A 16,417-nucleotide genomic window follows, 5' to 3' on the forward strand; every position below is an offset into this window, starting at 1 on the left:
TGTGTGTACAAATGTTCATAGGATTTTTATTTGTAACAGTAAGAAAAACCGGGAACAAAACTAATGTCCTTCAGTGGGTGAATAAACAAATAGTGGTATATTCGTATCATAGATTATTAGTGGCCAATAAAAACAGAACAATGATATGCAGAACAACTTGGATGGATTTCAGGTTAATCTGCTTTAGTTGAAATAGCCAATACCAAAAGGGTACATGCTGTATGATTCCATTTTTATAACATGCTACTAATGACAAAACTAAAGATGAAAAGATTTCTGATTGCCAAGGGTTAGGGCTGAGGAGAGGTTGTGACTATAAACAAGGAGCATGAGGGAGTTTGCATTGATGCAACATTCTGAATCTCGATTACGGTGGTGGTGACATGAATCAATATATGTGTTAAGATTTCTTAAAGCTACATATAAAAAACAAACAAAAATGCATGCATGTTAAAACTGGTGATTTCCAAATAAATTCTGTAGTTAACAGTATTGTAACAATTTCACTTTCCTGTATTTGGTAATGAACTATGCTTATGTAAGTTGTTATCTTTGGAAGAAGCTGGGTTAAGGGCAAGAACTCTGGAATATTTTGGTAAGATTTTGTGAATCTAAACTTATTTCAAAATAAAAACTTACAAAAACATCTTATTTATATTAATTTCATAACACCTGATGTTACTTATAAACTTAAACATATTCAAGTATGGTCAATTACACTTATGAACTGAATATACTGTATCCAGTTTCATTCTGAAGTACTTTAGTTATTCTGAAATAACACAAACTTAGAACCAAAGAAATGCAGGAGCTAATCATATAATAAAATGAGGCAGGCATAAAATACTCCGGTATTATATACAATATTAAATTTTAGTTCGTGATTAGAGGAAGTCACAATTTAAAATGTATAAAATCAGTGACAAGGCAACTAGGAATATGGCTCAAGCTATCCTGTTCCCAAATGCACATGAGGCATATTATCTGTTAAGGTTAGAATTGTGACAGAAAGCTCTCATCCATCATTTTGCCAAGGCTTCTTTCCTTCATTAAATTCTCTGATATTTTCCTAAAAGTCTTCTACATTGAATGTTTTCATAAGTTTTTTCTGCATTATTTCCTAGCACACGATGAGGCAAAACATTTTACTGAAAACCCTGCCACAGGGGTTTGCCAGAGGAAAGTATTTCTCCAGTGTGAACTCTCTCAATCTGTTGAAGTTTTATTTTTGGGCAAAGACGTTCCTATAATTATTACATTTCCACGAATTAGTAGTTTATTCATGATCTATGATCACTTCTGAGGGGGTTTATCTTCCCACCAAAGGCTTTTATAGTCTGCCACATTCATAGGATTTTTCTCAGTATACAATTTTTAGACATAATGTCCTAAAATATTTTCTCAAATGTTTTGTACATGTTTTCTCTGACACAAAACATGAAGTAACTGATCACTAAATAAACAACCATGTAGTCTGCATTCATGAAATTACTCTTCTTTGCAGATATCTTAAGGGCCTACATCTGGCAAGAGGCTTTCCCAAAATGACTACCTGTGAATTCTCCTGTGTTTAACAAGGATAGACAAGTGCGCAAAAGCTTTCCCACAATCACTACATCCATAGGGCCTCTCTCCTGTATGTTTTCTTTGATGAACATTGAGCCCTGATTTTGTAGTGAAGGCTTTCCCGCAGTCACTGCATTTGTACGGTTTCTCTCCTGTGTGAATTCTCTGATGTGTAATAAGATCATTTTTGCGCAAAGAGAATTTTCCACATTCAGTACATGCAAAGGAAGTCTTTCCTGTGTGAAATCGCTGATGTTGTATGAGGCATGTCTTCTTCCTGAAGGTTTTATCACATTCATTGCATTTGTATGGCTTCTCTCCAGTATGAGTTTGCTGATGTATACTGAGAGTACTCTTCATGGTGAAGCCCTTTCCACATTCATTGCATATATAAGGTTTCTCCCCAGTATGAGTTCGCTGATGTGCAATGAGCATGCTTTTCCCAGTTAAGCCTTTGCCACATTCACTGCATACATAGGGTTTCTCTCCTGTATGAGTGCGCCGATGTACATTGAGATGACTCTTCTCAGTGAAGCCTTTTCCACACTCATTGCAAATATAAGGTTTCTCTCCTGTATGAGTTCGTTGATGTCCCATTAGCCGGATCTTTGCTGGAAAGCCTTTTCCACACTCACCACATACATAGGGTTTTTCTCCAGTATGAGTTCGCTGATGCACAATAAGGCGGCTCTTCACAGTGAAGCCTTTTCCACAATCATTGCATATATATGGCTTCTCTGCAGTATGAGTTCGCTGATGTACAATGAGGTCACTCTTCATGGTGAAACCTTTTCGACATTCGGTGCATACATAGGGTTTCTCTCCAGTATGTGTTCGCTGATGTCTGATGAGTGGGCTCTTCAAAGCGAAGCCCTTTCCACACTCATTGCATTTATAAGGTTTCTCTCCAGTATGAGTTCGTTGATGTACCATGAGACAGTGCTTCATTGAAAAGCCTTTTCCACATTCACTACATGTATATAATTTCTCTCCTGTATGAGTTTGCTGATGTGTGATAAGACTGTTCTTCAAGGTGAAGCCTTTCCCACATTTATTGCATATAAAGGGTTTCTCACCAGTATGAGTTCGATGATGTGCAGTAAGACGCCTCTTCTCAATGAAGCCTTTTCCACATTCACTACATATATAAGGTTTTTCTCCTGTATGAGTTTTCTGATGTGTAGTGAGACTGAACTTTGTAGAGAAGGCCTTCCCACATACACTGCATCCATGGGGTTTCTCTCCTGTATGAGTTCGTTGATGATAAATGAGCCGACACTTCTTGATGAAGGCTTTCCCACATTGGCTACATGTGTAAGGTTTCCCTCCCATATGAGTTTTCTGATGTATATTGAGCTGTGATTTCTTGAGGAAGGTTTTGTCACATTCAGTGCATTCATAATGTTTCAGTTCTGTATGAGTTCTCTGATGGTCCATTAGTCTGGATTTTCTGGAGAAAGCTTTCCCACACATACTGCATACATGAGGTTTTTCTCCAGTGTGAACTCTCTGATGATCAATAAACTGAGACAACTTGAGGAAGGCTTTCCCACATTCACTGCATACATGGGCATTCTCTATGTTGTGAGTTCTCTGTTGCTTAATGAACTGGGACTTATTAATAGGTTTTGCAATTGCAGGAAACTTCATTTCAGTATAAAATTGTTTATGGTTAGCATGAAAAAGGGATTTCCCATCTCTATTAAACTCAGCAGAGTTCTTTAGGCCAGAGCTCCTTTTCTGGTTTTCAAAACTTAAATTTGATTTTAAAGGTTTTTCATGTAAGTCAAACGTATCACAATCTTGCTTCAGCAGGAAATGACCTTTGTTCTGATTAACAATATTTCCAAACATATTCTGTTCATGGCACTGTTTCACACTCTTCTGAATACTTTGATTTTGCAAGTGATGCTGCAGAGGATCATCAATTTTCCTGATTTCTAGGAAAGAAGAGAACAGTCAATCACTCCATCATCTTGTTTTGAAATAAACTATTTAAACTATTTTTTAAAACTGCCTTGGTGTGAGGTGACTCTTTAGTGAAAACCCTATTTTATTTATTTATTTTTTTGTGAGCAATAAAGCTTTTTAATCACCTGGGTGCAGGCGGACTGAGTCCGAAAAAGGAGTCAGAAAAGGGTGATAAGGGGAGGGCAGTTTTATAGCATTTGGGTAGGTAGTGGAAAATTACAGCTAAAGGGGGTTGAAAACCCTATTTTAGTATAAAGGAAACTCCATGTATAAATATCCCTCATCTCTTACACATTGGGAGAGATGTGTAAGATTCCTTTTATCTCTTACACATAAAGGAAATTCCATGTATAAATATCCTTCATTTCTTACAAATAAAACACAATAATATAAACACACCGAAAAGTAAAAGCAACTGTACAAACAAGGCTAGATAATTCACAATGTATATAGATTTGGCTGCTTTCTAAATAGGTCTTTATACAATACACACATAGTCAAATATAAACAGGTCACTTTTTGCAGGGAACCCCAAAATTTGGCAGGATACCAGACCACAGAAATAAAGAGAAATATCAGACCACACAGGTTGATCCCAAATGACAAAGGCTGTATTAATTTATTCTACAAATGTTTGCTGAATGACATCTATGTGTAAGTCACTATGCTCATGTTTGGGATATACAAACACCTTCCTTTTTTTTTTTTTTTTTTTTTGAGACAGGGTCTCTGTCACCAAGGCTGGAGTGCAGTGGCACAATCTCAGCTTACTTGCAACTATAACCTCTCCCTCCCAGGCTCAAGTGATCCTCCCACCTCAGCCTCTTGATTAGCTGGGACCACAGGCATGTGCCACCACACCCAGCTAATTTTTTGTATTTTTGGTAGAGATGGGTTTTTGCTGTGTTATCTAGGCTGGTCTCACAAGCTCAAGAAGATCCACCTCCCTCCGCCTCCCAAAGTGCTGGGATTACAGACATGAGCCACTGCACTCAGCCAATTTTCACGAAGGTTTAATTTTAGTTAGGAAAAAATGAAATCACAAGGAAGCAAAAAAATAAAGAAGGTAATTGCATTTTGTGAAATGTGGTTAATGGAACAATGGAGATATAAGAGGTGGAGAAAATCAAGATATAGTTAAAGAAATGACAAGGTTCACTAATAGGTTCAATGGGACGAGTGAAAGAGGGTTAATGGAAGTGAGGACTCAAAGATTATTCCAAAAATTATATGGTTTCAGGCTGGATACAGTGGCTCACACCTGTAGTCCCAGCACTTTGGGAGGACAAAGCGGGTAGATCACATGAGGCCAGGAGTTCAAGACCAGCCTGGCCAACATAGTGAAACTGTGTCTCTACTAAAAATACAAAAATTAGGCATGGTGGCACATGCCCGTAGTCCCGGCTACTTGGGAGGCTGAGGCACAAGAATCGCTTGAACCCAGGAGGTGGAGGTTGCAGTGGGCTGAAATCACACCACTGCACTCCAGCTGGGGTGACACAGCAAGACTCTGTCTCAAAAAAAAAAAAAAAAAAAAAAACGCAAAACTATATGGCTTCAGCCATTGGATAGGAAGAAAAAACCTCATGATGAAAATAGGAATATTACTATCTGGAATGAAGGGAAAAATTTAGCATGCCTTGTGAAACACATAAAGTTTAAGACCATTACCACATATCCAAGTACAAACATGAAGAAATTGGTTGAATATATAAATCTCGAAAAGGCCTTATCTGGAAACAGCAATGTAGATGACATCCAACATTTACAAATTATTCAAAGAAAGAGTACTGGATGAGACTTTAGTTGGAAACATGTAGAAAAAAAGAATGAAGGCACAGGGCCAGGGATCTTGTCAATCCAACATGTAGAGTTTGGGAATTCGTTAAGTCCACTGAAATGAACCATACGCTGACTATTATGATCAGGTGCACAAGTGGAGACCCAGGTGTACAAAACAAACATCTAGGAGTGGTAAGAATGTAATAGCCTCTTGAAAATTGCTAAAATAGATTTTAAGTGTTCTCACAAAAAAAGTAAGTACGTGAGGTAGTATATACATTAATTTGTTCAATTTAGCCATTCCACAATGTACACATATTTCAAAACAACATGTTTTACATGATAAATATATGTATTTTTTATTTAGGAATTAAAAAGTAATCATGTCCTGGTGTGGTGGTTCATGTCTGTAATCCCAGCACTTTGGTAGGGTGAGGCAAAGAGGATCACTTGAGCCCAGAAATTTGAGACCAGCCTGGGCAACATAGTGAGACCTTTCTCTATAAAAAATACAGAAATTAGCTGGGTGTGGTGGCATGTAGTCCCAGCTAGGCTAAAGTGGGAGGATCACTTGAGCCCAGGAGATTGAGGCTGCAGTGAGCCATGATTGTGCCACTGCACTCCAGCCTGGGTAACAGAGTAGAAAAATAAAGAAAAGAAATCATAAATTTAAAAAACAGAAGAATGTGAGATCCTCAGCATTTGATTTAAAGTGTCACATGCTGAGTGATTATCACATTCCCCAAACTTGCTATTCTTCTTCATTCTATGTACCACCATTAAACTAATTTTCCCAAAGCACAATCTCAAGTTTAGATGAAAGGTTCTATACTTAAGACTCCAACTAATGACCTAACTGGATCATACTATCCCGTGTTGCTACAGAAAGAGGGAACAATGATTTGCAGCAAAGTGTTAACTCAGCAGGCCTGGGCTATTCCATCCCTACACATTCCAAAGAAAGAACTCGTCTTAACTGCCTTCTAAAAGATAACCTCTGAGCCCCTGGAATATTCTGCCTGCTAAGGGTATCTTTTAATGCCTGAGGCCTTGGGTCATATCAGATAGTTTATGCTAGCAATGTGATTTATGGTGGACACCTGGTTTTGCATGTCTCAGGCTTTGGGCCACATTTGTATTGTTTTGACTCTGGGTGGCTACAGACACTGGGCTTAGATGAGCTTCCCTAGTTGGCAATAACTTCACATGTGTTGACAAACACTGTTGCAGGGAAAATTCAGCACTTTGTGCAACTCCACTAGAACAGGAGAACTGAAAGCTTGCACCCAGTTTCTCCTGGATTCTTCTTTCTATACTTTTTATCTTTGATGATTTTAATTTGTATTATTTCACTGTCACAAACTGTAATCATGAGTGTAGCAGTTCCCTCTCCTCCCCATTAACGTCTACCTTCTACGTAGCAGGCAAAGTAATCTATCAAATAAATTAGTTATATCATGTCACTTCTCTACTCAAAACTCCCTACTGTGTTCTCAACTCATTTGGAATAAAATCAAGGTCATGAATGCCCTTGACAGGCAGTATGTGACCTCTGTACCAAAACTTCCAACTATGCCCCCACTGTTCTTATTTCCAGACAGTTTTGCTTTTGCTCACTCTACTCTATCCATTCAAGCTTCCTAGAAGTTCCTCAAACACACTCCAGGGTCATTTTTCAACTTCTCATTGTCTCACACCTGGAACACTCTTCATCCAGGGAGCCTACACGTGTTCATCATCTATCTGCTCAAAGGCACCTTAACAAAGAGCTGTTCCCACCCTACAAGCACAGTGCCAACTCCTAACACTTACTGTTCCACCAGCTGCTTTAACTTTCCTTATAGCAATTTTTACTCCAAGATATGTTATTTATATATCTGCTTATTACTGGTTATATGGTTACTTCTAAGAGAACAAAAGCATTGTGAAGAATAAGGACATGGTATGTTTTTTCTTTCTTATTTGTACTGCTGATAGCGTTGGAATATAGTAGGCTATCAAAACACAAGTTTTGGGTGTGTGGTGGAGGCAGGGGGGTTTGTCATCCAGCCTGGAGTGCAGTGGCATGAACTTGGCTCATTGCAATGTCTGCCTCCAGGGTTCAGGCGATTCTCCCACCTCAGCCTCCTGAGTAGCTGGGATTATAGGCACATACCACCACACCCGGCTAATTTTTGTATTTTTAGTAGAAACGGGGTTTCACCATGTTGGCCAGGCTGGTCTCGAACTCCTGAACTCAAGTGATCCATCTGCCTTGGCCTCCCAAAATGCTGGGATTACAGGCATGAGCCACCGCGCCCAGCCCAAAACACAAGTTTTAAAGGAAGGAATCATATGACAAGAAACATGATTAACTGGGACTAGGTGTCATCAAAATATGATAGAAAAGTAATTAATGTTATTTCTATATTCTAGCAATGAATAATCTGAAAATGTAATCAAGAAAACAATTCCATTAACTGCAGAAACAAAAAGAAAACTATACTTAGGAATATACTTAGCAAAGGAAGTACCAAATTTATATTCTGAAAGTGATAATGCATTGTCGAAAGAAGTCAAAGACCTAACAGGATATAAAACTGTCCAGTGTTCATGGATCAGAATACTTAATATGATGAAAATGGGAATACTCCCCAAAATTGTTACACAGACTCAGTGCAGTACCTACCAAAATCCTAGCCACTCTTTTTGTAGAAATTTACAACTGATTCTAAACTTCAAATGGAAATTCAAAGGACTCAGAATAGTCAAAACAACCTTCAAAGCAAAGAACAAAGATGGAGGACTCACACTTCCCAATTTCAAAACTTACTATAGAACCATAATCATCAAGACTATTTGATAATATATATTTATACATAGTATATGTTCCAAAATTGATTGTGGTATGGTTACACAACTAGGTGAATAGATTAAAAACCACTGGCTTATACACCTTAAATGGGTGAAATCATGTGATATGTGCATTGTATCTCAATAATAGTTTACAAATATGATGAAAAAAGCAAAAGCTATACAGAAATGAATGCAGTCAAAACATCTAACATGAATTAAAGAAAGTTCAGAATTAGCAAAACTATGAAGGAAGTAATTTGCAGCAGGCATAAATGTCTGATGGTTTGGGCTAGAAATAATATACGATATTAAAAGATCTTTTCTAATTAATCAAAACATTATCTTAAAGTAGAGAACTTTAAGAGAGTTCAGCATGTAGAAAACACTTAAGGTAATGCCAGAATTTAAGATGTGCAGTAATGAAAGAGACCCTGGATTTAAACAGGACAGCCTGCAGCACGATTCACAACAGCAAAGACATGGAATCAACCTAGGTTCCCATCAATGGTGAACAGGATAACTGTGGTATATATACACCATGGAATACTACAAAGCCATAAAAAAGAACTAAAGCATGTCATTTGCAGCAACATGGATGCAGCTGGAAGCCATTACCCTAAGTGAAATAACTCAGAAACAGAAAACCAAATACTGTGTATTCTCACTTGTAGGCAAGAGCTAAACATTGGGAACACAGGGACATCAAGACAGGAACAATAGACACTGGGGACTCCAAGAGGAAGAAGGGAGGAAGGCAAGGGTTGAAGAACCACCTATTTGGTACTATGTTCACTACTTGGGTGACAGGATTGAGCTTCTAGTGAATCCTCGGCATCAGGCAATATATCCATGAGACAAACCTGCATATGCACCTCCTGATGCACCTCCTGAATCTAAAATAAAAACATAAAAGATAAAATAAAATTAAAAAAATAAAATTATATAAGGATAGCCAAAAGCATTATTCTTAGAGGGAAGATGATTCTTGTTCCTCATACACAAAATGGGAAGTTACAGGCTAGTTGTCATGAAGACAAGTAAAATACATGGAAATAAAGTATACATTAGATAATATTAAGGCAGAAGTTAATTTGGTAGTCTCTTCCAGAGAATGAAGAGTTAATTCACGGGAATGAAAAAAACTTTTAAAAGTTATGAGAACAGTAAAGAAAATGGAAGAAGGATGGGCTGGGCACGGAGGCTCACGCTGTAATCCCAGCACTTTGGGAGGCCAAGGCTGACAGATTACTTGAGCCAAGGAGTTCAAGACCAGCCTAGGCAACATGACAAAACCCCACCTCTATAAGAAATACAAAAATCAGCTGAGCATGGTGATGTGTGCCTGTAGTCCCAGCCACTTAAGAGGCTGAGGTGGGAGGATCGCTTGAGCCGAGGAGGTCAAGGCTACAGTGAGCCTGGGTGACAGATGAGACCTTCTTTCCAAAAAAAAAAAGTATGGAGAAACTCAGGATTCAGTATAAGAGGAATAAGAGAACTTAAGAAACACATAAATGCCAATCAGAGACCAGGTTATCATGGGCACAGCATCCAGAGTGGAGAAAATGAGGGAAAATAATGATTCCCAGAGTGGGAATAATGAAGGAAAATTATTATTTTCCTACTAGGGCAGGAAGATGCAGTAGTCAGAAAAAAGTAATGAGTTCAAAGGTCTCTCTTTCCGGAGAGGCCTGGAAAATGGAATTTCATAGCAAGAGAGGTAATACACAAGCAGAGACACTGTGACAGTGGACAAGAAAAGGCAGATTTGAAAATCCTAAGAAGATAATTATGTAGACAAAAACAAGATGTGCATAAAATAAACAAAGATGAAATCTCAAGGAAAAAAAGTGGGGGCCGGGCGCAGTGGCTCAAGCCTGTAATCTCAGCACTTTGGGAGGCCAAGGTGGGCAGATCACAAGGTCAAGAGATCAAGACCATCCTGGCCAATATGGTGAAACCCCGTTTCTACTAAAAATACAAAAATTAGCTGGGCGTGGTGGTACGCACCTGTAGTCCCAGCTACTCAGGAGGCTGAGGCAGGAGAATCCCTTGAACCCGGGAGGCGGAGGTTGCAGTGAGCCAAGATTGCGCTACTGCTCTCCAGCCTGGTGACAGAGCAAGACTCCATCTCAAAAAAAAAAAAAAAAAAAGAAAAGAAAGTGGGGCATATTTTCCATACTATAACAAAAAAGAGCTCTTCCTTGGGAAGAAGGAGTGATGGAGGGGCTGTTGCTGTGTCCTCAGATGCCCTCACTGCTTTGACGCCTGCTCTGTGTGGGCAGAACATGGTGTCTGTGGCTGTCCACCTGGCTGCTCCTCTCACTCACCAGAACAGATTCGAGAGTAGATTTCATCTTCTGTTGTGCAAGTTTCTTCTCCTCGTTCCAATTTGGAGAGTGCATCTGGTTTGCTGGCTTGATACCCTGTTCATGGGAAATGACAGAAGATTTAGACAAATCAAACGGGGCTGGCAATATTGAAAAAGGAGAGTTACATTTTAAGGACTACATAGGTATCAGATCTGTAACAAGAAGGTAGATTATACTCTCTTGTGTGGGGCAAGAGAATGATGTGAGAATCTACCACTTCAGAGTACTGCAGGTAAGCAGCTGAGAAAGGAAGGCCACTGACTGGGCACCCTCTGAGTGACACAGGGCAGCTGTCCTCACCCACTGCCACCAGGTTGCTGTAGTTCTCCAACATCACGTCCCGGTACAGGTCCTTCTGAGCAGGGCTCAGGAACTGCCACTCCTCCCAGGTGAAGTCCACAGCCACATCCTCCAGTGTTAGGGATTCCTGTAATAACACACTTCTGTTTAATGAAGTCATATTCTTTTGGTGATAGGAAAAGAATGTCAAGGAAGTCATTCCGCTCATTTTCACCACATAGGAAGCTGGTGGGGTTTTTTTCTTAGTACATTTTGACAGAATAAGAATTCCAGTAAAATATTCTGTAACTGTGCGGTCATCCATTCATTCAACAATGTTGAAAAGTCAAAGAAATGTCTGTAATACACAGCTATCCAATCCTCTTGCTAATGAAAGAACATCTATAACATGTAGCATCTATTTCCCAATACCAAACTAGTCATAAGTATATGCCAGTTACAAGTAGACGAATAATTCAGATTCTTAAATTCACTATGAGCTTTCAGGCCAATATCAAACTCTGTAATGAAGACATGGCAGATGCTAGTATCACAAGACAATGCATTCTAAATAACTATGGTTAACATAGTTAACCATATTATTATTTTATTCTGAATGAAATAAAAGAGACTATATAAAACATGTATAAAGCACAAAGATTATTAGATGATTAAACAAATCTGTTTTTTTGCTTGCTTGTTTTTTTTTTTGAGATGGAGTCTTGCTCTGTTGCCCAGGCTGGAGTGCAGTGGCACAATCTCGGCTCACTGCAACTTCTGCCTCCCGGGTTCAAGCAATTCTCCTGCCTCAGCCTCCCTAGTAGCTGGGATTACAGGCGCACGCCACCACACCTGGCTAATTTTTGTATTTTTAGTAGAGATGAGGTTTCACCACGTTGGCCAGGCTGGTCTCACACTCCTGACCTCAGGTGATCCACCCGCCTTGGCCTTCCAAAGTGCTGGGATTACAGGTGTGAGCCACAGCGCCTGGCCATGATTAAGCAAATTTGGAAAAAAAAATCCTTAGAATATATATGCAGACACATGTATGCACACAGACAAATTCATATATATGTGTATGTTATTAGACAGCGTTAATAACATTAAATACAATGAAGAAACAGCTAAAAGAAATCTACTTTTGCATTTATGAGAAGGCTACAGTTAAGAACACCACCTACCATAACACCTCCGTGAAGAACTATCAAAGATGTATTTGAGCCTCAGAATTATAAGCCATGAAACATTAACATCCCTCAAGAAACTGGTCTGCTTTCTCACAGTTGATATAACTTATCATGTTTCTCTTGTATAGCTTGTCAGAGATACTAGAGGCAAGTTTACAGCAAATGTAACCTACGGGGTCCCACACAGTCACAAATTCCAACATGAATCATGTAGTATGAATCCTATGAATAATATATCCCTGATCCTTCTTTGCCCAGATTTCTCCAGGTCCTGATATTTCCAATTTATACTTTTCTGATTAATTACCCTGATTTTTACAGGACTTTAAAAATACATTGGAGAATAAAGGAAAGAATAAAACAAACCAAAAGTCACCTGGGCCTGCATCATTGTCTCCTAAATTTGGGAAATGACTGCTAACTTGGACGTTCTGTATTTGTCTCTTCTGAATCAGCTCTAAATTTCGGTTCAAAAACTTCAATCTCCAATCAAGGATGTCCCCAGAAATGATGACACCCAAGTCTTGGAAACTCCGCCTCCTTCCTTCACTTGATTTCTCTTGTTCTCAGCACCTGTGGGCTGAAGAGCAAATTACTCTGAGTGGTACATTCTTTTTAGGCCCAGATGTTGTCACTGTTCCTATATGCTCACCTTAAATCAAGGCCCCCAAATATCTCTCTGTTCTTTTATTTAGTGCTCCAGAAGCTTTTATATCTGGGCTAGTAAAATATAACATTCTGAATATATGGGAGGTACAGCACCCTTCTATATAAAGTTGACGTGGTATGACTACTGCTAGTAAGTGAAAGAGAATGTGGGGAAAAGAATCGTCACAACGTGATGCCCAGCAGCTGGGCAATCCTCAGGCAGACCAGTTTTAGGAAAGAGGTCACATAGACAGTTAAGATGCACACATTTTTTCTTTAAAACCATGTGTACCCATCTACCTTTTCAGAGGTCTTTTTACATTCTAGGATACTGCAATCTGAGAACACTGTCCTAAGCAAATAATAAGCACTATCTTATTTAAATTATTCATTACCATCCACATCTTTGACTTTTTTTCTTTTTTTTTTGAGACTGAGTTTCACTCACTCTGTTGCCCAGGCTGGAGTGAGTAAGACTCCAGTGGCGTGATCTCTGTTCACTGCAACCTCCATCTCCTGGGTTCAAGCGATTCTCCTGCTTCAGCCGCCTGAGAAGCTGGGATTACAGGTGAACGCCACATGCGCTGCTAATTTTTGTACTTTTAGTAGAAACGGGGTTTCACCATGTTGGCCAGGCTGGTCTTGAACTCCTGAGCTCAACTGATCCACCCATCTCAGCCTCCCAAAGTGCTGGGACTACAGGCATGAGCCACTGCACCCGGCCGCCATCCACATCTTGATACTTGCAAAGTATTCTAAGTATAAATGTATAAAGGATACTCAGCAAAAATATCCTTGAGGAATTACATATTACAGCAAATCCTAACGGATATTCTTCAAGCAAAAGAAAGATGACTCCAGTGTAAGCAGAGGAGCAAGGTCTGAAGAGGAACAAAACGGTAAGTAATTAATAAAGCCTAAATCAGTATTGACTGGAAAAATAATACTGATAATAATATATCAGGAAGTTTTAATATATATAGTGTTAAAATATTCCATAAGAACATATAGGCCGGGTGCGGTGGCTCACGCCTGTAATCCCAACACTTTGGGAGGCCGAGGTGGGCAGATCACGAGGTCAGGAGTTCGAGATCAGCCTGACCAACATGGTGAAACCCCGTCTCTACTAAAAATACAAAAATTAGCTGGGCATGGTAGCGCGTGCCTATAATCCCAGCTACTCAGGAGGCTGAGGCAGGAGAATTGCTTGAACCCAGGAAGCGGAGGGTGCAGTGAGCCAAGATTGTGCCATTGCACTCCAGCCTGGGTGACAGAGTGAGATTCTATCTCAAAACAACAACAACAAAAAAGAACATATAAAGTAGGAGGATGGCAAATGAAAACGTATTTTAAGATATCTGCATAGCAGAAGAGTATAAAATACTAATTACCATAACATTAACAAATAAGTTTATATGTTGTTTGTAATCAATAGTGTCAGCAATAAAACTAATTTTTAAAAAATTATTTCCATGTTAAAAGAGAGGTCTATGGTTTCCGTGGCAGCTACTCAACTCTACTGTTGTAGCTCAAAAATGCCCACATACAAAAAAATAGACAAATGATTGTGGCCAGGTCCCAACAAAACTTTATTAACAGAAACAGGTGCTGGGAGATTTAGTCCATGGGCTCTAGTTGCCCAACTGTGAATTTGTGCAGAAAAGCCATATGGTCACCTAAATCAAGAGTCAGTAATATAGTATCCAGGACCTGGACCACCTGTTTTGTAAATAAAGTCTTATAAGAACACAGCTACATGCATTCCATGACATTTCATCTCAGGCTATTATCACATTACAATGGCAGAGTTGAGAATTTGGGTCTAGAATGTCACTCAGTAGAATGCAGTATAAAAAAATAATCAAAGATGACTTTTGAATATAAGGGGCAAATTATCAGTATTTGCCTAATACGTCTGTATTCCTTTAGTCAGGTGGCTGGATACAAAATTTAAATAGAAAAATCCTATATCCTCCTAAAGCATATACAGATCGAGTCAGTATTAAGAGCAGAACCTTTCTTGGGAACAATTTAACATTCTATTGAAAATTGCCAATAAAGGTATACCTGGTAACCCAAAACCCCATTCCTAAAACTTTCTTAAAAGGTAATATTGGCAAAAGTGTGCTATCTGACAGGTCATTTTTACTTTCTTCACTTGATTTTTCATAGGGAAAACACAGGTTTACATCAGAAAAATATTAGCATTCTACATTTAAAATAAAATTGCTGATGGTAGTTCAGTAATATAAGTTTACGGCTTTAAATGTTTTCATTAATAGAAAAAAGAGAGAAACCAGGCGGGAGGAAGGGAGAGAAAAAAATGAATATAAATACAAATTTTACAAAAGACAAAACCAAAAATAATCCTCAGAGATAATCGTGAGGAAAAGATGTTTAACTCCTCTTTTGGCCAACAAGTAAAGCGACACAAGTTATGCCAATCACACAATGAGCAAGAAGCAGAATCAGGGCTGAAAATCCACTTTTGTTTCACTTCAAAATCCACTTTTACTCTACTTTATACCGAACCAAAATTATCTGTAAATCAGATGCCTCCCTATTAAGTAAATAAATAAAGCAATTAAAGGGCTATTAGTAGAATTCTAGTTAATCATATACAGAATTATTTAGAGGAATGGTACTTATGTCTGTAACTTACTTTGAAATATACCAAAATCGACAACAAATAAGGAATGATTCACAAACAGAGGAATGGATGAATACTTAGAAAACCAGTAGAGCTGATCTAATACAATGTTAATGGTAAAAGCTAGGTGGTAGGCATATTGGTATTAACATTAAACTTCTTTCAATATTTCCATAGGTTCAAAAATTTTCACAAAATAATATGTTAGGCAGAGAGAAAAATATTGTAATACTAAGAATTAAGATGACCAAATATAAAATAAATATTTAAAATTAATTTATCTTTTGTTATAGATTATAAGGAAAGGGGAGTCAGAAAGCAATACACTGCAATAAAAGTAATAGTCTAGATTGAAGATTAAAGGCAGGAAAAACAAAATTCATGGATAAATGGATAATCATAAAATGTTCCTAAAAATAATACCTAAACATTTTAAAACATTTCACTTCTATCCAAATGTACGCATAAACTTAATGTGAATGCACTTATAGTACCACCGGCTCAAACAGTAAAAACAACTTCTAAATGTTTATTACATAATATAAAGCGAAAAAGATAATAGTACCATTTACATAATTTATCTGAATTATGAATATTAAGCACATAACATACACGTCTAAAATTGAAATATTCTGAAAATTTGACAAAGGTTATCTTTGAGTAACCGAGCTTACCATGGCAGAGATGTTATCTTACTTGTGTCAGAAAGAACCTGAAAAGAAATATCCAAGAGGATACGCTGGAAACTTGCAGGACAAAGGGTAGAAGCCGCATCTTAAATATAAAACATACTACTTTTAGGTATGCTAGATGACTGATCTCGCCAAAAACTTCCATTTCTGAGGATTCAAGACCAAGGGGTGATGGAAGGTGCCAAAGGGGATTTAAAAACCAGTCGTGGAGAAGGGTCTTGGGCAGAAGGGGAATGCTAATGAGCATCAATTCTGTTCCAGCAGCCAGGGCTGGGGCTAACCCATCACCTGCCATGGTTCCCAGGCCTCCAGAGCTGCAGCCCACATCGGAATCTGTGGCGCTACCACCACCGCCACCGGGATTAATTCCAAAACCTGGATCAGAAACCTCCGTACCTTAACCCCCAAGACAGTTCCTCAATCATTTAGTCCCAAACA

At 38.6% G+C, this 16,417-nt stretch overlaps 1 protein-coding gene across 15 annotated transcripts in view; it reads right to left on the minus strand.

Annotated features, from left to right (window-relative positions):
- The window catches only part of ZNF615 (zinc finger protein 615), a 16,880-nt gene continuing 463 nt past the window's right edge, over positions 1 to 16,417 (minus strand). Inside the window, exons 2-8 of one of the 15 annotated variants that reach the window (XM_047438644.1) lie at positions 15,962 to 15,999; positions 13,086 to 13,392; positions 12,366 to 12,569; positions 10,824 to 10,950; positions 10,482 to 10,577; positions 9,015 to 9,047; positions 1 to 3,506 (exon numbers count right to left, since the gene is read on the minus strand). In XM_047438644.1, the coding sequence (XP_047294600.1) occupies positions 1,549 to 3,506; positions 9,015 to 9,047; positions 10,482 to 10,577; positions 10,824 to 10,950; positions 12,366 to 12,380 (2,229 nt within the window). In that variant the 5' untranslated portion in view covers positions 12,381 to 12,569; positions 13,086 to 13,392; positions 15,962 to 15,999 and the 3' untranslated portion in view covers positions 1 to 1,548. Of the gene's footprint in view, positions 3,507 to 8,927; positions 9,048 to 10,481; positions 10,578 to 10,823; positions 10,951 to 12,365; positions 12,570 to 13,085; positions 13,519 to 15,961; positions 16,062 to 16,417 lie in introns of those variants that run through there. The other 14 variants (XM_047438645.1, XM_047438647.1, NM_001199324.2 and 11 more) reach the window with 14 other exon arrangements.

This window comes from Homo sapiens, chromosome 19 (genome assembly GCF_000001405.40).
Source record: "Homo sapiens chromosome 19, GRCh38.p14 Primary Assembly".
Lineage (NCBI taxonomy): Eukaryota > Metazoa > Chordata > Mammalia > Primates > Hominidae > Homo > Homo sapiens.